This window comes from Homo sapiens, chromosome 10 (assembly GCF_000001405.40).
Source record: "Homo sapiens chromosome 10, GRCh38.p14 Primary Assembly".
In the NCBI taxonomy this organism is placed as follows: Eukaryota; Metazoa; Chordata; class Mammalia; order Primates; family Hominidae; genus Homo; species Homo sapiens.
The window spans coordinates 110,474,046-110,497,353 of record NC_000010.11 but is presented as its reverse complement, the minus strand read 5'-3'; the positions used below and the strand labels follow the sequence as shown (position 1 = coordinate 110,497,353).

At 46.8% G+C, this 23,308-nt stretch overlaps 1 long non-coding RNA gene across 2 annotated transcripts, besides 1 other annotated feature; it reads left to right on the top strand.

Annotated features, from left to right (window-relative positions):
• Positions 402-925: an enhancer, noted in NCBI's record as "H3K4me1 hESC enhancer chr10:112256187-112256710 (GRCh37/hg19 assembly coordinates)". NCBI's record gives its function as "activates a minimal SCP1, AML or CMV promoter by ChIP-STARR-seq in naive H9 embryonic stem cells {active_cell/tissue: H9 hESC(naive)}" and the evidence as "EXISTENCE:reporter gene assay evidence [ECO:0000049][PMID:30033119]".
• Positions 872-23,012, top strand: DUSP5-DT (DUSP5 divergent transcript). Of its 2 annotated transcripts, NR_187548.1 has the most exons (3): positions 1,128-1,235; positions 2,259-2,349; positions 22,128-23,012. It is a non-coding gene; the product is annotated as a DUSP5 divergent transcript (long non-coding RNA). The 2 variants fall into 2 exon arrangements; NR_187547.1 differs by lacking the exons at positions 1,128-1,235; positions 2,259-2,349 and adding an exon at positions 872-966.
• The last annotated feature ends 296 nt before the right edge of the window (positions 23,013-23,308 follow it).

Here is a 23,308-nt window from a genome sequence, read left to right as displayed (position 1 = left end):
AGGCTGGGTGATGGGTGGCCGGATTCGTTATACTGTTTTCTCCACTTTTCTGTATGTTTGATATTTTTCATAATAAAGTTTGTAAAAGTAAAAACGGGGGTTGGGGGTCGGCGGTGAGAATAGCCATTTAATCTTCCTAAATGGATTCTGCCCTCAAAGGATTGACGCTCTTTTCTCTGTCACTCTCCAATAATGATTAGAATAATAAGTTGTATTTTGAGGAGCTGTTTTCTGGTCCCGGGGAGACCCTTGGTGAACTCAGCAGTACCATCAGCATGTATCCCACGATGGAGCTCAGTTCAGCCAACTGTTGTCCAGGTGGCTTCTGGATTTGGGGGATTATCTATGGATCAAGTTTAATCTCAGGCTGTCTGCCCCCACCGGTCCCCAGGGGCTTCAGGCCTCCCACCCCTATTCCTGGGGAAGCAGACACAATTCACCCATTCAGCAAGCATTTATTGAGGGTCAGCCGTGTGCCAGGGCTTTGCTAGCTGCGGGGACACATGGATGGAAACAGGTTTCTGCCCCCAAGCTCACTGCCAACCATTTTATTGTTAGCCTGGCTGGGACTGCTTGATGGAAAACAGTCTGCCCGCACTAGACAAGGGCTTGTTGACAACTGACATAAGGGAATGAGGTTTTCAGAAGGAAGCAGAGATCAAATTTTGAAATCAGATGCAATCAAATCAGACACCAGGACAGCCAGCATTGCCTCTGGGTCACAGATGCATCCACCCAAAGGCGCTGTCCTCGCCTTGCCAGTGGGGTCTTGGTGAAGACGTGATGCGGGGGCCTTCTTTCTTTTTGTGGTTATCTGTGCCAGCCTTCCCTGCAGGCTGCTCTTCCTCTAGCACGTTCTGTTTCTGTTACCGGCTCTTTCCACCCCCGGCATCTCCGCCTAGAGCCACACACATACGCGGAGCACCCACGTGGGCCAGGCTTTGTTTTGGGGCTGGCGGCACCAACGTGAGTAAGACTTATACTCAGCCCCAGCTGCCCCCAGCCCAGAGGGAAGGGGAAGGCCTGTAGTCCGTGGGGAAGAGCGCCCAGTAGGGGTGTGGCAGGGTGGGGCGTGGGCTGGAGAAGGCCTCCCGAGGAGAGGAGAGCTGAGGCCAACTCCGAGGAATGAATTGTAAGCCAGGCTGCGAAGCAGGAGGGGAGATTCCAGGCAGAGGAAACTGCTTGGGGTAAAGAAAACAAAAAACGCAACCCCCCCAGCATGGTGCGTACTGGAGGTATGTGGGAGACTAAGGCCCTTCTGGTATTTATTAGCAGATTAAGCAGGGTCAGGCAACAGAGGGCCTTGTGCTGTTTTGAGTCATTTGGGTCTTAGTCTTTGGCCGGGCAGTCCCCAACGAGGGATCTTACTCAGTGACAAGATCCGGATAGCATTTGGGAACATCGCTGAGGCGGCTCTGTGCGGGATCGGTGCTTTATTTGAGAGTGGTGGTGGGGTCCGGAGTCTGGGGGATGGATGGGAGGATTTCATGGGTAATCTAGACATGAGCTGATATGGACTTGCCAGAACTTGGCAGTGACAGCAGCTATGGGGAGGCCATAGGAATGGGAGCACATTGAGGAAGTGAGATGCTGGGAGGGGTGAGATGGGGAGAGAGAACTGGAGAGGGACACCAAAGATTTTTTTGTTTCCGGATTTTTTTTTTTTAGATAGGTTCTCGGGCCGGGCGCGGTGGCTCACGCCTGTAATCCTAGCACTTTGGGAGGCGGAGGCAGGCGGATCACCTGAGGTCGGGAGTTCGAGACCAGCCTGACCAACATGGAGAAACCCCGTCTCTACTAACAATACAAAAAAATTAGCCGAGCATGGTGGCGCATGCCTATAATCTCAGCTACTTGGGAGGCTGAGGCAGGAGAATCGCTTGAACCTGGGAGGCGGAGGTTGCAGTGAGCCGAGATCGCGCCATTGCACTCCAGCCTGGGCAACAAAAGCGAAACTCGGTCTCAAAAAAAAAAAGCTTGTTCTCACTATGTCGGCCAGGGTGGGCTCAAACTCCTGGCCTCAAGTAATCCTCCCACCTCAGCCTCCTAAAGTGCTGGGATTGAGCCACCACACCCGGTTAGCATTTTTCTTTTCTTTTTCTTTTTTTAGGACAGAGTCTCGCTCTGTCGCCCAGGCGGGAGTGCAGTGGCGTGATCTCGGCTCCCAGGTTCAAGCAATTCTTCTGCCTCAACCTCCTGAGTAGCTGGGATTGCAGGCACACACCACTACGCCCAGCTAATTTTTGTATTTTTAGTAGAGACGGGGTTTCACCATGTTGATCAGGCTGGTCTCGAACTCCTGACCTTGTGCTCCGCCCACCTTGGCCTCCCAAAGTGCTGGGATTACAGGTATGACCCATGAGCCACTACCCCTGGCCAACACCATAGTTTTTAACCTTTAGATAGGGACTCTACAGGAGCAGGTCTGGGGTGAGGGTAGCAGGAAAAGGAGGAGTGGGTGAAGTTTATTCATATTAATAAGCTAGAGTTGGTCACACCAAGGAAGGTGCCCAGAAAGCAGAAGGGTGGCATGGCACCCGGTGTAGGAGGGTCATCTGTCAGCTGGATTGCTTCCTCACATCCCATATCCAACAGATTACTAAGTCCTGGGACCCTGCTTCCCAGAGCTCTCATCTGACTCATCCTGTCTTGTCCCATGGCCAAGGCCAGCTTTGCAGGTATGTGACCTGTGCAGCCAAACGGGGCCCCGTACTTAGAAGGGACCCCCACTTGTTTTAATGCTCTGTTGTTACTAAATTGTTAATAATTTTGTGCAAGAGACCCTGCATTTTCCTTTCCCACTGGACCCCACAAACTCTGTAGGTGGTCCTGCCTATCGCTGTAGTTAAAGGGCCCCATTATCCCCCATCCCCACTGGACCCTACATTAGCATCCTGTATCCCAGTCTCAAAGCCCCCTCCTTGCTCTCTCATCCTCTGCAGTGTGGTCTTAAGCTTACGTCTAAGCACAGAGCCCACCTCCTCTGCTCAAAAATTTTCAATGCCACCTACGCACTGTCTTGATAAAATCCAAATTCCTTAGTGAACACTAAGGTCCTCGGTCTGGCCAATTGGCCACAACCCACCTCTAACGTTTCTCACCTTCCTTCTCATCACCCCTCCGCACACCGCCCCCATTCTTTGTAAAGCAATCCTTCTCCACCTTCATACAGCTCTGGAGCTACTGTCGCACATTCAGGATGCCACCACTTAATCCCCCAGCCTGTTAGCCGTCACCCTCCTAGGGGTTCTCACTTCCCTTCCCCACTAGCCTGGTCCGTGAGTGTTATCTGTCCTGCCATTAACCTGCAGTCTCCCAGGCTAGACTTAGGGGCCTTATCCGACCATCTGTGTCTCCTTCACAACACCCTCACATGGTGAGGGCTGAATCAGTGTTGGTGGAATGGAATTCAGTGCTTGCTGAGACATGAGAGTGGCCAGCTTTTTAGGAGGCACCTGGGGAGAAAGTTGGTAACAGCACAAATCAGGGCCCTAGACACTGGATAAAAGGCGAAACAGAAAACTGGAGGTGCACAGTCCATAGATTCAGGACCTGGAGTCCATCGGCCACAGGTCTAGGAGGAAGAGGAGAGTGTCTGAGACTGGAAGGGCTTAATGGAGCAACTAATCTCTTGCCTGTGTCCCAAATACTTTGGAATGAGTGTGAGAATTGGCTCAGGGAAAAAAGCAAAATCTAAATTAATATTGTGAGTCCATGAGGCAGGACCTTGTCCTATTCATTAATCTTGCCCCTCAACAGTTATTTTCAGAGGGGCAAGAAGTGTTTCAGGGTTCTTGGCCCTTGTTTGACCAGTCGTCCTAACCCTCATGTCTTGGGTCATTGTTGTTATAATCTGGGGTTACCTTTTGGAAGGTCATGGGGTACCCTTTTGCAAAAGTTATGGGCCCTCTCCTTGGAAACTGCACACACACCATGCAGCTTACAATTCAGGGAGTTCACAGGTCTACAGAATCCTGGAAACTCTCATGTCCGGTTCTACTCATTGTAGCTTCAGTGGAACCTTCTAGCAGTCCTTTCCAGCTCCTCCCCAGCTCCTCAGCTCTGCTTCCCTCCGCCCATCAAGCCCTCCTCAGCCCATAAGGTGGGCCAGGTGGCCTGTGGGGATAAATCAGAGTGCCCACAAGTGCAGGGGCCCAAAGACATCCCAGAGCAAACCCAAGAATCCCTCTACAAGCCCCAGCCCACTCAGAAGGATGCATTTTGCCCCCTCTGTTTATTTGTTTGTTTTTAATTATGAAAGTAGGGCATGGTCATTGTTGAAAATGTGAGAAATGCAGAGAAGTTAAAATGATGCTTTTTGTTTAGGGCGCTGCTGCTTCTGGCTTAAGATCCTAAATCAAAGCAGCTGCCAGATCTGGACCTAAGACTTGCTTCCCATCACCTTACATAAAAGAAAGAGCACTGGACTAGGAATCAAAGATCTGAATTCCCATCAAATCTCTGCTATTACTAGCTTTTATCTCTATTTATTTATTTATCTGTCTATCTATCTAGTACCTTTTGTGAATATGAGTGTTTCTCACCGAGGCCCTCCCATCTCTCTTGCCCCCGATCCTGGAATGGACCAAATACCTTGTTTACTGAAGGATACAGATGGCATGTGACTGTTGAGAATCACTCACCCTCTTAGAGCCATGGTTTCCTCTTCTATAAAATAGGGATGTTCGTGCCTATTTGCTAATCATGAGTGACAATGACATAAGGTACATAAAGCTGTACTGCATGATGCAAACATAACATCATATTTGTAGGGTTGTTGCTAATAATACTATCCATCAGCAAAGCAGTCATTCATTTACTCAGTCAAATACTGATGCACTGGTACATTCAGTTTCCTCTTTTGTAAAATGGGGATAAAAATAGGACTTAGCTCATAGGGTATTTAAGATTCAGTGAGTTAATATATATAAAATACTTAGAGCAGTCCTTGGAACATATTAAGAACTCAATACATATTAGCTAGTTGAGCAGGCTGTAGTATTTGTTCCAGCCAAGAAAAGACTGTTCTCTAACAGCACAGGAAATAAAGATGGGGTTAGGCACGACACGGCAGCAGGACTTACCTTCTGTCTAATTCAGCTGGCAGTCAAAGAAAGAATTATTAGAAGCCTATGAGCTTGTTCTCCCAAAGATCTACTGAGTACAGGGGGATATTTAAAGAATAAAAATCCCTAGACCCACTTACAGTACAGGAGAGACAAGAAGCTGTTCACACAATAACAAGTGCTAAATTCCTTGATTTTTATACTGACAGCTGAAGTTTTAGAGAAGAGAAGGATCAATAAAGACCGGAATATTAAAGCAGACAGGCCTAAAAGAGGATTTTAGATTTGATAAAGAATTCCTCCAGTTCTCAGAGCAGGGACTTTGGAGGGTAACAACTTGGATTTCAGTCCTTGCCTGCCACTTACTGATTGTATGACCTTGGAAAAGTTACTTCACTTCTGTGAGCAATGATTCTCTCATCTGGAAAACAAAACAAAACAAAAAAACTAACAAGGGTGATAATAATACCTACCTCCCTACCTCATAGGGCTGATGAGAAGATTAAAAAGTACCTACATAAAGCCCTTCTCTGCGTGCCTGGAGCATGGCAAGGGCTCCATGTGAACCACTATTTTTTTTTTTTTTTTTTAATGAAAAGTCATGGGCAGCACCAAAGCTCAGAATTTTGGCAGTAAGGAATTATGATTCTACATTGAAATTTGCCAGAAGGGGAGCTGACTGCCTCATGAGACATTTTTGAATGAGGCCAAAAAAGGAAACAAGTGTATCCTGGGATTTTACGAGATGCTAGGTATGTCCTTAGCACTTAATCCTCATGACTACCCTATGATGTAAGTACTATCTGTTGTCCCTATTTTACAGTTGGCCAAGGTCACATAGCTGAAACGGACTTCTGTGTGTCTTCTAACTTTTGCTTTCAGGTCTGGAAAAATGCAATGTAAACCTAGACCCTCTTTGAAATACTGAAGATGGTAATCTTATCCCTTCCTCACTTTCTGTTTTCTAAAATAACAGTCCTTGTTCCTTACAATGTCTGTTTTCCAGATTCTTAGAAGACTTTTTGCTTATTTTCCATAACTCTTTACTTGTGATCCCTGAATGACACCGGGGGTATAGCAGAGAATGTCCATTTCCTCAAAGTTCAAAGGTCCTACAAAAAATAGTTGCTAGCCTGGCATGATGGTGTGTGCCTGTAGCCTCAGCTACCTGGGAGGCTGAGGCAAGAGGATTGCTTGAGCTGAGGAGTTTGAGGCTGCAGCGAGCCATGATCACGCCACTGCTCTCCAGCCTGGATGACAAAGCAAGATCACATCTTAAAATAAAATAAAATAAATTTTAAAAATATATAAAAAATAAAAAGTGGTGCCACTAAGTGTCCTGGACAGCATTAGAGAAAGCAAGAGATAGAAGAGTGCAAACACCTGAAAGGAAAGAGATGCGGGTCTTCCCTCTCCCTTGAGTAGCCACCGGCTATCCCTGGAGCATAGGAGTAGGATTTTATCCCCCAGCTTCGGCCTCCCCAGGCAGCACTTCCTTTCTGTGCTTTGACTCCAATTTGGATGGTGCTCAGGCGGGAAGTAGGCTGGGGTGGGAGGAGTTTAGGGGAATATTTGTCTTCTCTCCTGTTTTGCCCTAGAGATTCTGGCCAGGAAGACAAATGGCTAGTACCACTTGGTCCTTTTCTTTTCTTCTTTTGAGACAGGGTCTTGTTCTGTTGCCCAGGCTGGAGTGCAGTGGCGTGATCGCGGCTCACCGCAGCCTCCCAGGCTCAAGCATTCCTCTCACCTCAGCCTCCTGAGTAGCTGGGACCACAGCTCCACTAATTTTGAAGTTTTTTTGGTAGACATGAAGTCTCCCTGTGTTGCCCGGGCTGGTCTCAAACTCCTGACCTCAAGCAGTCCTCCTGTCTTGGCCTCTGGAAATGCTGGGATTACAGGCGTGAGCCACTGTGCTGGCCTCTTTTTTCTTTTTCTTTTTTTTTAAGGTTTTTATTTGTTAAATGGGAAGTCTGTGCCATCAACTGAGCATTGTATTTTCTCCTTAGTAAGAGCCTGGGTGGGCCACTGGGAGAGAACTATACATTAAATGTAAGTAGCCTCTGGGTAGAGAGCCCCTGGCTGGTTTCCTTTCCTTTCTCTCCTTTTCTCTACTTTGGTGTCTGGAGGCATTTCCCAGACTCCAGTTTCTTACCACCCTCACGGATTTTGCTATTGTATTATCACCTCCTTTATCATTCCCAAAATTGACTTTATGGAGACTCATTAAAAGAAAAAATCATCGGCCGGGAGCGGTGGCTCACGCCACGAAGGCGGGCGAATCACCTGAGGTGCGGAGTTCGTGACCAGCCTGACCAAAACAGAGAAACCCCATCTCTACTAAACAATACAAAATTAGCTGGGCGTGGTGGTGCACGCCTGTAATCCCAGCTACTGGGGAGGCTGAGACAAGAGAATCACTTGAACCCGGGAGGCAGAGGTTGCAGTGACCAAAGATCGCACTATTGCACTCCAGCCTGGGCAACAAGAGCAAAACTCTATCTCAAAAAAAAAAAAAAAAAAAGCCCCAAACCTCTTATTCTTAGGCACTAATATCTGTGGTTTATTAATCTAGTTCAGTTTTTTTTGTTTTTGTTATTATTTGTTTGTTTGTTTGGTAGTGGAAAGTAAAATATATGACAATTCAAATGGGAGACTTTTATCTATGCATCACCTACAGTTGCCTTTTCTGCCTCTAAGGCTGCCTGGGGAAACAGTAAGTGGGTTCTGGAGTAAAGGGGAAGGCTCTAGAAATGAACAGCAGTGCAGCCAGCGTTGGAGACATGGCTTAAATGCTTCCGAATTACAGTTTCTTCTTAAGTTAGGATAATTATTAAGTTGTAAAGTAGAAACAAAATAATAGACGGGAAAATACCTTGTAAAATGCTCATGATAGTCTTTTTCCAGTAACTTCCTTGCTCCTGGGGGTCTGAAATCCTATCCTTCCTGGCCTAGAACTAGTGGGGGGAAATTTCCGAAATCTCAAGGGTTCAGAGCAAGGGCTTTGCCCAAGGTCCCACCGGAGTTTTACCACTTGATCTGCGGTGGGAGTTATTTCCCCTCTCTATGCATCAGTTTCCTGTCTTCTAAAGTGGGATTGTTATGGCAGCACTTCTCAAACCTTATTGTGCATAAAATCCCAAGGAGCCTTTGAAATGCAGGTTCCTATTCTGGGGCTGAGACTGTATTTCCAACTAGCTCCCTGGTCATGCTGATTCTACTGGTCCGTAGACCACACATTGAGTAGCAGGCGGTTCTAGTGCTTAACTTCCTGGAGGTGTTGAAAGGCTTGAATTAGACAATACATCCTAAGCATTTAGCCTGGTGCTTATGTCAGGTACTTATCATAGATAGTAGCTCATTGTCAATATTACAGTGATTTATGGGTTTATAGGATGTGGGGTGGGTTGAGAGGTAACCCTAGATGGATCGTACCTGTGGGGTTTGAAAAGAGCAATGTGCTAGGAATCAGGAGACCAAGGTTCAAGTCCTAGCTTTATAATTTGTGCCATGAGCTGTGTAAGCTTAGGCAAGTCTCTCAAACTTTCTGAGCCTCAGTTTCCCCTCTACAAAAAGAGGGGAGAAGTTTGAATTAGATGGTGACTAAAGGTTCTCTCAGCTTTAAATTGCTGAAATTTGAGGGTTATAGTCCCTGCTCCATCCCCACCACCAAAAGACACTTAGCAAGCCTGACTTTGGCCATAGCCTTGAACTTCATCTGTGGCAGGGATGGGGCTGCTCTGAGCCTGCCTTGACCATGGGGAGGATGAATAACTGAACGGCCCAGCCTGGTGCCCTTGGCATTCCTCGAACCTCGGGTGACATCAGTCCCAGAAGCCTCTGTTCTCTGGGCCTCGTGCAAAGTTCTCCTTGTTAAGGCAGAGTGATTTGCAGACTGAACAGGAGAAAGTCTGCAGCATGTCCAGAAAAATGGTGTTAAAAGGAGGCATTGTGCACATTCTATCCCACCACTTCAACACACAGAGGCAAAGATGATTCATGAGTAAACTCACTTCCTTGTAAGCACATGTCATCTCCCCCTCACCCCCAATTCCATCCCTTTGGCATGTCTCTCTGGACTCTAGGGACTTGAGACCCAAGCAACCAGACCCTGCAGGAAACCTGCCTCTTGGTGGAAGAAATGAGCATGCAGCAGCCTAGTCCCCAAATGGGAAGAACAGGCCCCTGAGATAAGTGAGCCTCTTGGCCACAAGCACCCTCCCAGTCCAGCCCCAGCCTGTGTATTAACCCACAAGTCTATACTAAGTCCTCACCATGAACACACATTTATTGAGCACCTGCTGCATACTTCTGGCTAAGCAAGTTCACCTGAATAACTTACTTAACCTCTGCTTCCCAGTGAAGAGATGAGTACAGATGGGGCACCCAGGTTCATAGAGGCTAAGTGACGTGCTCAGAGTCACACAGCACCAACAAGTATCACTCATGAGGCTGAGCTGACCCTCCCTTTTCTCTTCTCTGTTATGAACTTGTCCATGCCCTTGTCTTTCGTGTTTACATTTGATTATTTATGTTTCCCTCTCTCCCCGTGACCAAAGAGTCAGCTCCTAAAGCCCCGCAGCCACATTCCCTAGCCTGTCCCTAGTAGGATATTTTGCCCAGTGAATACGTGAAATTCCTGGGTGGAGTAGGGAAGGGAGAGAAGCCCAAGATTTCATTCCTGACCTCAGGAAGGGCTGGGGAAAGGTGTATGAGGGTTGAAAACCAGGGAGGATTTACTCTGGCAGAGGGAGGGGGAAGGGCTCTGCAGCTGAAGGAGACAGGGGAGGCGGAAGCACAGGAAGTGGGAGGTAGGAAGCAGCCAGGTGTCATTTCCAGGGAGGATGAGGGGGCAGGGAGGTTTTGGGAATGGTAAAAAGGTGGGGGCGGGGCGGAGGTAAGTATGGAAAGTAACACCTGCTTTGTGCAATCAGGCATTATGCATATGAAGTCTAAAAATGTTTATTACCCTTTGGCCTAGTAATTCCACTTCTGGGAAATGATCTTAAGGAAAATCTTCAAAATGCGGGGGAGGTAAAGCTATATTCACAACAGTGTTCATCACAGAGCTATTTATAAGAAAGTAAAAATGGAAGCAGCCCAAACATTTCTCCTAAGAGAATGGCGAAGACACTAGAATCTAGTCATTCAAAACTAGCCATTCGATGTGGTGTTTTTAAAGACTCCGAAGAACATTCAGAATCAATTACGTAAAAACGTTAAGGGAAATGGAACAATAGCTGTCATGTATTAATCTTATTTCCTAGGGACCAGGCTGGGTGCTTTCCATACTTGGTTTCATTTAATCCATACAACAACCCTGGAGCGTGGAATCACTTCCATGTAACAGATTTGGAGACTGAAGCTCACCTAGGCAGGGGGTGAAAAAGCTGCGTGCGATTCAGCCCTGGTCACACTCCAGTGTGTTCTGACCACCACTTTCTATGACAGGACCACATCCAGCAAGGAAACTGAGAGAAAGACATTAAATATTAACAATGATTCCTTTTCAGAAATGGGTGGTGGAGGGAGGAGTGATTCTACTTCCAATTTTTCTGTGTTTTTCAAATTTTTCCTTATGAAGTTGTGATACCCTTTCTGTATTCTTTCCTAATTTTTAGTTATTTATTGTGCTTATTCTGCAACTTGGTTTGATGCAGTTACTAGTAGGTCTTGGTGACCTTGTTATCTTTGGATGCAATTTATTCTTTACTAGGGGTGGGGGGTGCTCAGACTACACCACAGTTCAGATTTGGCACAATTTATTTACTTGGATCTCCCCTTGAAGGACATTTAGCAAGTTTCTAACTCTTCACGAATACAGTCAATCCTGCAAGGAGCATCCCTGTTACACCCGTTTGGGCAGAGGGTTTTGACGGTTGTTTTTTTTTTTTTTTTTTTTTTTTTTTGAGACGGAGTTTCGCTCTTGTTGCCCAGGCTGGAGTGCAATGGCGTAATCTCGGCTCACTGCAACCTCCACCTCCGGGGTTCAAGCAATTCTCCTGCCTCAGCTTCCCGAGTAGCTGGGATTACAGGCGCCCACCACCATGCCCAGCTAATTTTTGTATTTTTAGTAGAGACGGAGTTTCACCATGTGGGCCAGGCTGGTCTTGAACTCCTGACCTTGTGATCTGCCCACCTCGGTCTCCCAAAGTGCTGGGATTACAGGCGCCCACCACAATGCCCAGCTAATTTTTGTATTTTTAGTAGAGACGGAGTTTCACCATGTGGGCCAGGCTGGTCTTGAACTCCTGACCTTGTGATCTGCCCACCTCGGTCTCCCAAAGTGCTGGGATTACAGGCATGAGCCACCACGCTCAGCCTTGATGTTTGTTTTTAACCGAAAAGACTGGACTAGGGAAAAAGTGTACTTATGGGTGACTATATTTTTGGCTTTGGGAGATTGCGGATGGAGGGATTTAATTAAGAGGCTCTAGAATCAAAAAAGTCCCTGTTGGTAAAAAACGGAGGGCTGGTGTGAGTGGGAGTGTTTGAAGTCTCAGTTCTCTAACAGTATCCCTCATTCCTGCCACTTCCTGCCAGGGCCAGCTCTATCAGCAGGCTAGGGCTTGTCTCTTTGGGAGAAGTTATAGATTATGGTTCCCACCCTTGATTCATATTGACATACAGCTTAATTCGGTTGAGCTGTGGGCAAATCCTCTTCAGGAAGACAGTTATTCTAATGCCTGTGGGGCTTCAGGATGCAGAATCTACTCCATTCAATTCTACCCCTTTCCTGGAGGTCTTTTATAGCAAATATAGTTTGAAAAACTGGGGAACCTCAGCCAATTCTTCACACCTGCTGCGTGGCCTGCAGCCAACTTTGTGAGAGCCCTAGGCTGCTGTGCTTCATTTATATGGAATCAGGGGCTGGAGTTAGAAGACTTCAAACAGCTCCAACCTTCTGCTGTGATTCCATGAGATCTAAGTAAGAAAGATACAGCTCTACACCTTATGAGCTGTGAGATTCAGGGTGAGTTATTAACATCTCTGAGCATCAGTTTCTCATCTGTAAGACCAGGCAGTGAGACCTACCTGGTACAGTTGTATAGATTAAATGAACTGCTACCAGGAGTTTGGCCCCTAGGACAGTGTCCATACCTGGAAAATGAGCGATGCATCCTGGGTCCAATCCTTAAGGCACCTAAGGAGCCCCTGGGCTCCTTCAGCCCCATCTCCAGGATTACCTGGGGCTGCCAGGAAAGCTCTTCTTTGAAGACCTCTGATCTATTAGAGAGATGAACCTATTCATTTCTCAGCCGGTGGGTTGGTACCTTGAAGCTACCTAAGCTAAAAAACAAAAACAATAAACAAACACCCCAACTGAAGGTAGCACGTGAACAAATGAGAGTCTAAACCCGTCCAGCCGCTGTTGTAGCCAGCACATTATGCAAAATGGCAGTTCATCCCAAGGTTTACCTTCATCCTTAGCTCCAGCAGCCAGAACATCCACATAAGCCTTTTAACAAGGGAGGCAACACCAGGTGCAGTGGCTCATGCCTGTAATCCCAGCACTTTGGGAGGCTGAGGTGGGCGGATCACCTGAGGTCAGGAGTTCGAGATCAGCCTGGGCAACACGGTGAAACCAGGGCTCTACTAAAAACACAAAATTAGCCGGGCGTGGTGGCACATGCCTGTAATCCCAGCTACTCGGGAGACTGAGGCAGGAGAATCGCTTGAACCTGGGAGGCGGAGGATGCGGTGAGCCGAGATCGCGCCATTGCACCCCAGCCTGGGCAACAAGAGTAAATCTCTGTCTCACCAAAAAAAAAAAAAGAAGAGAGGCAACAACTTAATGGAGTTTAAAGATCTGGTTCAAAATGTATTATTGGAGAGTGAAAAAACTAAGGGAGACAAAATGTCTGACACTACTATTGTAGGAAAAAGAAAAAACTCACTTAAGTTGGGTGCTGTGGCTCACTTCCTGTAATGCCAACATTTTGGGAGGCCAAGGCAAGAGGATTGCTTGAGGCCAGGATTTTGAGACCAACCTGGTCAACACAGTGAGACCCCGTCTCAACAAAAATAAAAATAAAAATAATTAGCTAGGCATATTCCTGGCTACTTGGGAGGCTGAGTTGGGAGGATTGCTTGAGCCCAGGAATTCAAGGCTGCAGTAAGCTGTGATTGCTCTACTGCACTCCAGCCTAAGCAACAGAATGAGACCTTATCTCTAAAATAAATAAATATTAAAATTTTAAAAACCCACTTAACTACATGGGTATATGTGTTCATATCTTTTTATATGCTTCTATACATTTTACTGGTATAAAAATTCTGCTGGTATAAGTGTTATCAGCTAACAGCTTTTCCTTTGGGGGAGTGTGGTGAGCTCTACCTGTTTACCTTCTTTACTGCCTGACTGTCTGATATGAGCTTATCTTTCAAGAGAGGCAGTTATTGTAGTGGTTAAGAATGAGAGGAATACCAGAGTCAAACCATCTTGTTCTTTTTTATTGTTTGTTTGTTTGTTTCAGATAAGGTCTTGCTGTGTCACCCAGGCTGGAGTGCAGTGGTGTGATCATAGCTCACTATAGTCCCTATCTCCCAGGCTCGAGCCATCTTTCCACCTCACCCTTCAGAGCAGCTGGGACCACAGGCACATACCACCACAGCTGGCTAATTTTTTTTTGTTTCGTTTTGTTTTGTTTTTAAAGCAGAGATGAGCTGGGTGTGGTGGCTCACACCTGTAATCCCAGCACTTTGGGAGGCCGAGGCAGGTGGATCACGAGGTCAGGAGTTCAAGACCAGCCTGACCAACATGGAGAAACCCCGTCTCTACTAAAAATACAAAATTAGCTGGGCATGGTGGATACCTGTAATCCCAGCTACTCGGGAGGCTGAGGCAGGAGAATCGCTTGAACCCAGGAGGTGGAGGTTGCAGTGAGCTGAGATCACACCATTGCACTCCAGCCTGGGAAACAAGAGCGAAACTCCATCTCAAAAAAAAAAAAAAAAAAAAAAAAAGCAGAGAGAAGATTTCACTGCATGGCCAGGCTGGTCTCAAACTCCTGAGCTCAAGCAATCCTCCTGCCTCGGCCTCCTAAAGTGTTGGGATTACAGGCATGAGCCACCATGCTCAGCCTTGTTTGGCTTCAAATTCAGATATGTGTCTATGTGTTTCTGCATCAGATACTGAAGCTATGGCAGTTTATCTGCAGAAGCAGTTGACAATAACAATAAAACTAGACTTATAGTGTTGTTTGGAGGGTTAAATGAAGGGGTCCCTATACTTAGCACAATACTTGGCATTCAGGAAGCACTCAGAAAAGATAAACGATTATTATTATATAAGTAAAATATATATATATGTAAACATAGGCTTCTTACCAAAGGGCAGGGGTAACATGAGGTTGCACATGCATGATACATACAGCTATAAAAAGAATGTGAGAGGGGAAAAAAAGAAAAGAAGAAATGACTGCTTTTCATAGCCAGCTCTGAAAGCCCCTGTCCCACATAATTTTCCACTATTCTCTCAAGAAGGGCAATTAAATAAAACTCTTGCCAAGTACAGTGGCTCTCACCTGTAATTCCAGCTACTTGAGAGGCTGAGGTGGGATGACCACTTGAGGCCAGGAGTTCAAGACCGGCCTGGGCAACATAGGAGACCCTGTCTCTAAAAAGATGGGAAAAAAAATTAGCTGAACGTGGTGGTGTACACCTGTAGTCCCAGCTACTTGGGAGGCTGAGGCTGGAGGATCATTTGAGCCCAGGAGTTTGAGGCTTCAGTGAGCCATGATTATGCCACTGTATTCCAGCCTGGGTGACAGAGCAAGACTATGAGAAGCAAAAGGAAAAAGAGAAGAGGAGAGGAGAGAAGAAAAAGAAAAGAAACAAAGACAGGAAAAAGGAGAGAGAGAGAAAAAAAAAACTCTGGTGTGGGAGGAGGTAAAGTGCTTAAAGGCCCAGTATAGAGTCCACCCCGACACATGGCTTCAGCGAATCCATGACACCATGGATTCACTGGAGAAGTGACACAGGCTTATCTTCTCTCTTGACCCACCAGCTTCTGAGGTAGAAAGGAATTTGAGCTGTCCCAGCCATCCACCCATCCATTGAATATTTATTGAGTGCCTTTTGTGTGCCAGTCATTGTTCTAAGTCCAGAGATACAGCAGTGGACAGAGAAGACCAAAACAAAACATCAAACAAACAAAATCTCACCCTCAGAGAGCTACATCCTACTGGATGGAAGTAAATAGACACTAAAAATGAGTAAGACTTGTGGAATGCCTAACAGTGATAAATGCTATGGAGAAAAATTAAGGAGGGAAATGTTTTAGGGATGATTAGGATGGGTTGCAATTTTAAATAGGATGGTTGGGTAAGATCTCACCGAGCAGGTGACATTTGAGTAAAGACCAGAAAGAAGTGCAGGGGAGACCCCTGTAGAGGGAAGAGCAAGTGCAAGGACCTGGAAGTAGTAGTGTGAACAGCAAGGAGGGCAGCAGGGCTGGCGGGAGTGGTCTAGACCAGTGGTCCTCACAGGGCCATTTTGCTCCTCTCCCCGCAGGGGACATCTGGCCATGTCTGGAAACATTTTGGGTTGTCACAGCTGGGATGGGAGTGTGCACTATGAGAGTCAAGGATGCTGTTCAACATCCTACAATGCACGGGACGGTCTCCACATTCTCCAAAGAATGATCCTTCCCAAAACGTCCAGAGTGCCAAGTTTGAGAAGCTCAAATCTAGACTTAGGAAGAGTTGTAGGAGATGATGTCAAAGAGATAACAAGAAGTGGGGTGGGGGATGGAGGAGGGGCTGTGGAGAAGGAGATCACCAAGAGCCCTGTAGGCATCCTAAGGATCTTAGGTTTTTACTGTAGGCCAGATGGGAAGCCACTGGTTGTTGGCAGTGTTTAGCTGGTGGAATTTCCAAGTCATAGGGAGAGGAATACCAGGTGGTCCTTGATCTTGGTCCCAGGCGCTGACTCCCTCTGGCTTCCTCTGGGAGGGGCCACACTTCAGGGGCTGGAAAGTATAAGATAGGTGATTTTTAGTCATTAAGCAGGACTCTATCAACAGGTAAAATCACTGCTTTGCTGGGAGATCATTAATCTTGATTCTGTGAGAATAACCAACCCAGCCTCCCTGAATTACTAGGAACCATACATAGTCTGGACTTGATCACAACAGAGGAGTCAACGTTTCATTTCACCAAATGTTTCCTGAAGGCTGGTTGAAGTGCAAGGTTAGTGTTTGGATGTAAACCTTGCCTTCTAGGAATTATTTTTTTAGACGGAGTCTCACTGTGTCACCCAGGCTGGAGTGCAATGGCACAATCTCGGCTCATTGTAACCTCCGCCTCCTGGGTTCAAGCGATTCTCCTGTCTCAGCTTCCCAGGTAGATGCAACTACAGGCGGTCGCCACCACGCCCAGCTAATTTTTATATTTTAAGTAGAGATGGGGTTTCTTCATGTTAGCCAGGCTGATCTCAAACTCCTGACCTCAAGTCATCTACCTGCCTTGGCCTCTCAAAGTGCTGGGATTACAGGTGAGAGTCACCTTCTAAGAATTTTTAATGTAATGAAGGATAGGAGAAGAGAGAAAGATTAACCCCCAGATTGATACCACCAACATTCACGGAGCACCTGCTGAGATTAGAGGGGGAATGAATGCAAGCAGGTAGGGAAGGGAGGATGTTCTGGGAGGAAATGGCATACGCACACATCCCACCATGTGGTGACATAAGTGCAGTTACAGAGGGGGGCCACTGGGCAAAAGGACTGGCTCAGCCATGGCAGCCAGTGGCACAGAAGAGGTGGCGTTTAGGCCTTGGAGGACAAAAGAGTGCAGGTGATGAAATTATGAGGGAAGGTGTCCAAGCAAAGGGCAGAGAGCCAGTGTTCTCAGGAGCTCACCTCTGTAGATTTCTGGACCACATACTTCTGGATTGTTTTACATATATATATACACACACACATACACACACACACACACGTATATTTATGTATGTATATGTTTTCTTTATATACATACATATATTCTTTATATAGGTATATACTTTATATACACTATATATGTATGTGTGTGTGTATGTATATATATAGTCTGGCTCTGTCACCTAGGCTAGAATGTAATAGCACTAACTTGGCTCACTGCACCTCCTGGGCTCAAGTGATCTTCCCACCTCAGCCTCCCAGGTAGCTGGGACTACAGGCACGCCTAGCTAATTTTTGTATTTTTTTGGTAGAGATGGGGTTTCACCATGTTGACCAGGCTGATCTTGAACTCCTGGGCTCAAGCAATCCACTGGTCTCAGCCTCCCAAAGTGCTGGGATTACAGATATGATCCACTGCACCCAGCCTTACATTCTTGCAGATTCTCATTCAGAAGGCCTGGATCCTGTCCAAGAATCTGCATTTTACACAGCTCCTGGGACCTGCAAACCAGGTGTTTCTCTGCACCTTGCAAAGCTCTGCTCCAGGAAACGGAAGGCAGGGTTCAGGCATCCAGCCCAGTGTGGTGCTTCCAAGAGAAAGGTGTCCAAATGCTGCTGCTTTGAAAGGCAAAAACCAGGGGTGGCTGGCCTGCCAAGCATGGCCACATGAAGTCAGTTGTTCTCAACCTTGAGTGACCTATCACTGGGGAAGCTTGTTAAACATATATCTGGGTCACACCATAGACTCTCTGCCTCAGTCTTCTGGGATGATCTGTTTGGGACCCCACCAGGGGACTCACTGGCCCTGTGGCCTATCTATAACTGAGACACATTTTGGCCACACAGCTCCTCTCCAGCCCCTAGAATCTCAAAAACACTAAAAGCCCCATACACTGTCCCATCTATTTATTTTAATCACAATAGCTGCCTTTTATTGAGCATTTACTGAGTGCAAAACTCTGTGCTGAACACTTTACATTCATAATCTTCCTTTAAGTCTCACAACAGGCTGGGTGTAGTAGCTCATGCCTGTAATCCCAACACTTTGGGAGGCTGAGACGGGATGATCACTTGAAGCCAGGAGTTTGAGACCATCCTGGGCGGCAAAGCAAGACCCCTATCTCTACAAAAAAGACCAACAAAAACAAAAGAAAAAGTCTCACAACAACCTGGCAAAGGAGGAAGTTTTGTGTTTGTTTGTTTGTTTGTTTGTTTTTTGAGATGGGGTCTCTCCCTGTTGCCAGGGTGGAGGGCTGTGGCATGATCTCGGCTCACTGCAACCTCTGGCTCCCTGGTTCAAGCAATTCTCCTGCCTCAGCCTCCCAAGTAGCTGGGATTACAGGCACGTGCCACCACACCCAGCTAATTTTTGTATTTTTAGTAGAGACGGGGTTTCACCATGTTGGCCAGGAGGGTCTCGAACTTCTGACCTCGTGATCCGCCCACCTCAGCCTCCCAAAGTGCTGGGATTACAGGCATGAGCCACCGCGCCCTGCCAAGGAGAAAGATTTTTATAAGGAAACTGAGACACAGCAGTCAGTGGTAGAGCTAAGACACAGACCTAGGCTTGCCTGACCCCAAACTCAAGCTCTTCAGCAGTTTCCTGCACCGCCTCCCTTCAGACGCCCTCCTGTGCTTTCTGCTGCTAGTCCCCACATCTAGATTGCAAACTACTTGGGGCAAAAGTTGGATCTTAGGCTGCTTGTGTTCCTCAGACAGAATTTTCTTGAAATAACTGGGGTTGCTTCTCAAAAAGAGTCATGAGAGCTCTTTCTGGACCCTTCTCCCTGGTCTTTGGATTCCCATTCCCCTTAAACAGTATCTTTCTCTTCCAGAGGGGAGCTCAGTGAGCTCCCAGGGTTCTTTTTTTAATTTTTTTTTTTTTCAAGGCAGAGTCTCTGTCACCCAGGCTGGAGTGCAGTGGCGCGACCTCGGCTCATTGCAACCTCCGCCTCCCAGGTTCAAGCACTTCTCATGCCTTGGCCTTCTGAGTATCTGGGATTAGAGGTGCCTGCCACCATGCCCAGCTAATTTTCTTTTTTCTTTTTTTTTCAGTAGAGATGGTGTTTCACCATGCTGCCCAGGCTGGTCTCAAACTCCTGGGCTCAAGTAATCCACCCAAAGTGCTGGGGTTACAGGTGTGAGCCACTGTGCCTGGCATTCTTCTTTTATTTATTTATTTATTTCCTAACCCACTAGGCAATCAAGGACTTTCTTTAAAGAGATGGGCTCTTGCATTCACCCAGGCTGAAGTGCAGTGATCATAGCTCACCACAGCCTCGAATTCCCAGACTCAGGCCATCCCCCCGAGTAACTGGGACCACAGGTGTGCACCACCATGCCCAGCTAAGTTATTTTTATTTTTATTTTTTTAGAGACAGGGTCTCACTATGGACCAGACATTACCCAGTCTGGTCTTGAACTCCTGGCCTCAAGCAATCCTCCCGTCTTAGCCTTGCAAAGTGCTGAGATTACAGGCATGAACCACTGCACCCTACTATCACCCAGGGTTCTAAGCCCCCTGCCCTGTGGAGCTTACCAGAAAGGCCTTGTATTTGAGTTCTCAACTTTACCTTCTTTTTGGCATATTCTTTCTTCCTGGGCTGTGAGGTCCTGGAAGTAGTAAGGCTGGCTTCTTACCATCTGTCTTCCGTAAAGCAGCACATAGTAGGCTCAATAAATTCAAGGAGGGCTGATTTATATGCATTCAGATCTCAGACTTCTGTGAATATAAATCAAGGACCATAATTTTTTTTCTCTAAATTGCATTCATTGGTATTTAATTTATTGAGCATCTAATGTGTGCCAGGCACTGGCTCAGGTACTAGGAATTCTGTGGTAAACAAGGTAAATGAGTTCCCTGCTCTCTAGGGCTTCCTTCTAGTGGGGAAGACAGGTAACATACAAACTCTTAGCAAAGCCAGCTTGACTGTGGTGGCTGGGGAAGATGGAGAACAAATAGAACTGGAGGCCAGAGGGGCCTCTCTGAGAAGGTGTCATCTGAACTGACAACGGATTAATCAAAATGAGCCAGCTGTGTCTGAATCAGGGAAAGGGCATTCCAGTCCTGAGACAGGACCACTGTGGCCTGTCTGAGGATTCACAGATGCAGCTATGGCTGGAACTTAGTGGACAAGAGAGAGAGGTCAGAGATGAGCTGGGAGATGTTGGCAAGGCCAGATTATGCAGGGCCTTCCTCATAGACCATGGTGAAGAGATTAGAGTTGGTTCTAACCGAGGTGGGAAATCAGTGGAGGGTTTTATGCAGGGTGATGATGAAAGATCCCCAGCTGCTTGGAGAATGGACTGTAGGGAGGACAGAGTGGAGGCAGAGACCAGTTAGGAAATTACTGCCATGGTCATGGTGACAGGTGATGGGGTCTTGGACAAAGATAATAGAAGAGGAAGCTGAGAGATGTAGACAGACAAGACCTTCAGATGTAGTGGATGTGGCAGGGGTGGGGCATGAGGGAAAGAGGAATCACGAAGGATGCCCTGGTTTGGATTAGGTAGATGGGGGTGTCATTGTCTGAGATGGGGAAGGTAGAGGAAGAACAGGTTTGGGTGGTGAGATTGAGCATTCTGGTGTGCTCCTGGGCCAAATAATGTCCTCGAAAGATGGCACGTGTGAATATATGACCTCACATGGCAAATCTGATTAAGTCAAGAATTTTGAGTTGGGAGATTATCCTGGAGGACCCAATGTAAACACAAGGGGCCTTATAAATGTAAAAGGGAGGCAGGAGAGTCAGCGTGCTTCGATGTGAGAAGGAATCAACCTGCCATTGCTTTGAACTGGCTTTGAAGGTGAAGGAAGGGAACCCCGAGGTGAGGAATTAAGACATCCTCTAGGAACTGGGAAAGGTAAGGAAATGGTTTCTCCCATCGAGACTCTAGAAGGGACACAATCTTGCTGACACCTTGCTTTTAGCCCAGAGAAAACCCAATTAGGACTTCTTACCTCCAGAACTGTGAAATCATGCATTTGTGTGGTTGGTTTTAAGCCACTAAGTTTGTCGTCATTTGTTACGGAAGCAATAGGAAATGGACACATTGGCCTTACGGACGTCCAGGTGGAAAGACAGGTGGGCAGCAGGCAGGCTGTACTGGCCAGAGCCCAGGGTAGAGGCTGGCACTGGAATCCTGAGAGCATTCAGCCTACAGTTGGAACTTAAATCTGAGAGGCTTCGAATCACCTCAGGGCCCAGAGTGAGCTGCAGGGCCCGTGATTAATTCCTGTCCTCTCTGCCGGATACAGGCAAACTTTGGCAGCTGGCTTTTCTCTCCTAAGTAGAGAATCTTTAGCTTGGCCTAAGGGTCTTGGGTGGGGCCTGAGCTGGATGGGCCTGCCCTGAGTGAAAGTCCAAAGACCCTGTCACTCTGAGGGACACTCCCATCAGGCTGTCTCAGATGCCTCCAGGCTAGGTGGGGAGGAAAATGGGAGAGTGACGGAAATGTTTATTATGTTTATTTAGCTCCTACTAAGTCACAAGCACCAAATTAGAGACTTTTTATCTGTGGTTTTAAACCTTACAATAACCCTGGCAGGGAGCTGTAAGCCCCATTTGTGAATAGGTAAACTGAGGCTCAGAGGGATCAGATTACTTCTTTAAGATAACACCAGCAGGACGGCCAGCATAGTGGCTCATGCCTCTAATCCCAGCACTTTGGGAGGCCAAGGCAGGCAGATTGCCTGAGCTCACGAGTTCAAGACCAGCGTGGGCAACATGGCAAAACCCCGTCTTTACAAAAAATACAAAAATTGCTGGGCATGGTGGTGTGAGCTTGTAGTTCCAGCTACTCGAGAGGCTGAGGTGGGAGGATGGCTTGAGCCCGGGAGCTGGAGGTTGCAGTGAGCTGAGACTACACCACTGCACTAGAGCCTGGGCAATAGAGCCAGACCTTGTCTCAAATAAAAAACAAAAAATAAAAAATAAAAATAACGCCAGCAGGGAACTGAAGATCCAGGAATCCACCAAGTTTGAATGAGCTTTAGATGTCCCCAGGGTGCTGCTCTTTCTGCCATGCCCCTCTTCTTGGCTGAGGACTATTTGAGAGTGTTTTTTACCAAAATAGCAACAATGCCTTCCATTCATTGACCTGTCCCCCTTTCCCTTAGTTATGCATTTAATCTTCACACCAACCTCATTGTTAGTTTTTTTTTTTTTTTCATTTTACAGATGCAGATGCTGTGGCTCAAAGGATTAATTAATTTGCTTAAGATAATGCAACATGAGAAAAGCAGATCAGGACGGAATTCCAGAACAAGGATTTTGCTTGAAATAACATCACTACTAATTGTCTCTCTGCACCTCCTGGCTCATTTCTCTACTCCCACACCTTCCCTGCTGACCCTAGTCAAGGAGCTGTGAACATACAAATAGTGCCTGATACACTAGGGCCTCGGCATTGGCCATGGGAGTGAGGGAGAAAATCATTTAAGAGGCTTTGTAGTCGATTTCAACAAAGAAGGCAATGCCAGTGAAGCATCTTGCAGGAATCCCTCCCTGACTGCTTCAGTCCACAGCGCTCTTACCTTTCTCTATACACTTACAATCTGTTTCATTTACTTCCTAGCAGACCTTGCAGAAACCATTATTTCATATGATACGTTTCCCCCATAGAATATAAGCTCCTTAAGGGAAGAGATTTTTGCTTGGTTTTATAATGCTGAATTCCAAGTGCCTAGAAAGGGCCTGGCAGGTCGTAGGCACAAGAAGTATTGGTTGGTTGAATATATACTTCTTGCAACCCACAGAAACTGATGTTGGTCTGGGCCAGGCCCTGCCCTGGCTTCCAGGGATGCAGAAGTGAATCGAATAACTTCCTGCCCTCTGAACTTATGGGGGAGACATACATACCTGCATATTCACAAGAGATTTCATCACATGTAACCAAAGTAAAAAGGTGGCCACCAGAAGGGGGACTGGACCTGCTTGTTGGAAGGGTGCAAATGGAAACTAGAGAGGTGATTGTTCCAGACATTCCCAGTGGGACAGGTGGCTGTGAGCCTGTGATGAACTGAGAGACACCACTGAGTAAAAGTTAAGAGGACAGGCTCTGGAGCCCAACTGTCTGGGTTGAATCTTTCTCTACCAATTACTAGTTGTGTGATGTCGTACCAGTGATATACTGTTGAGATAAACGCATATTCCAAGACTCACTGCAGAGATTCCAAACCAGCAAGTCTGGGCTGGCTAGGAATCTGCTTCGTTGTTCCACAAACATGTTATTGTTTATTGCAGAGGGTCTACAGACCATGCCTTGAAAAGCTGTGGCCTTCAGGGAGGAAGGGTCATGCTAACCAGCAAACTGGAATGTCACACTGTGTGTCATTGACATTTTTCAGTGTGAAATCACA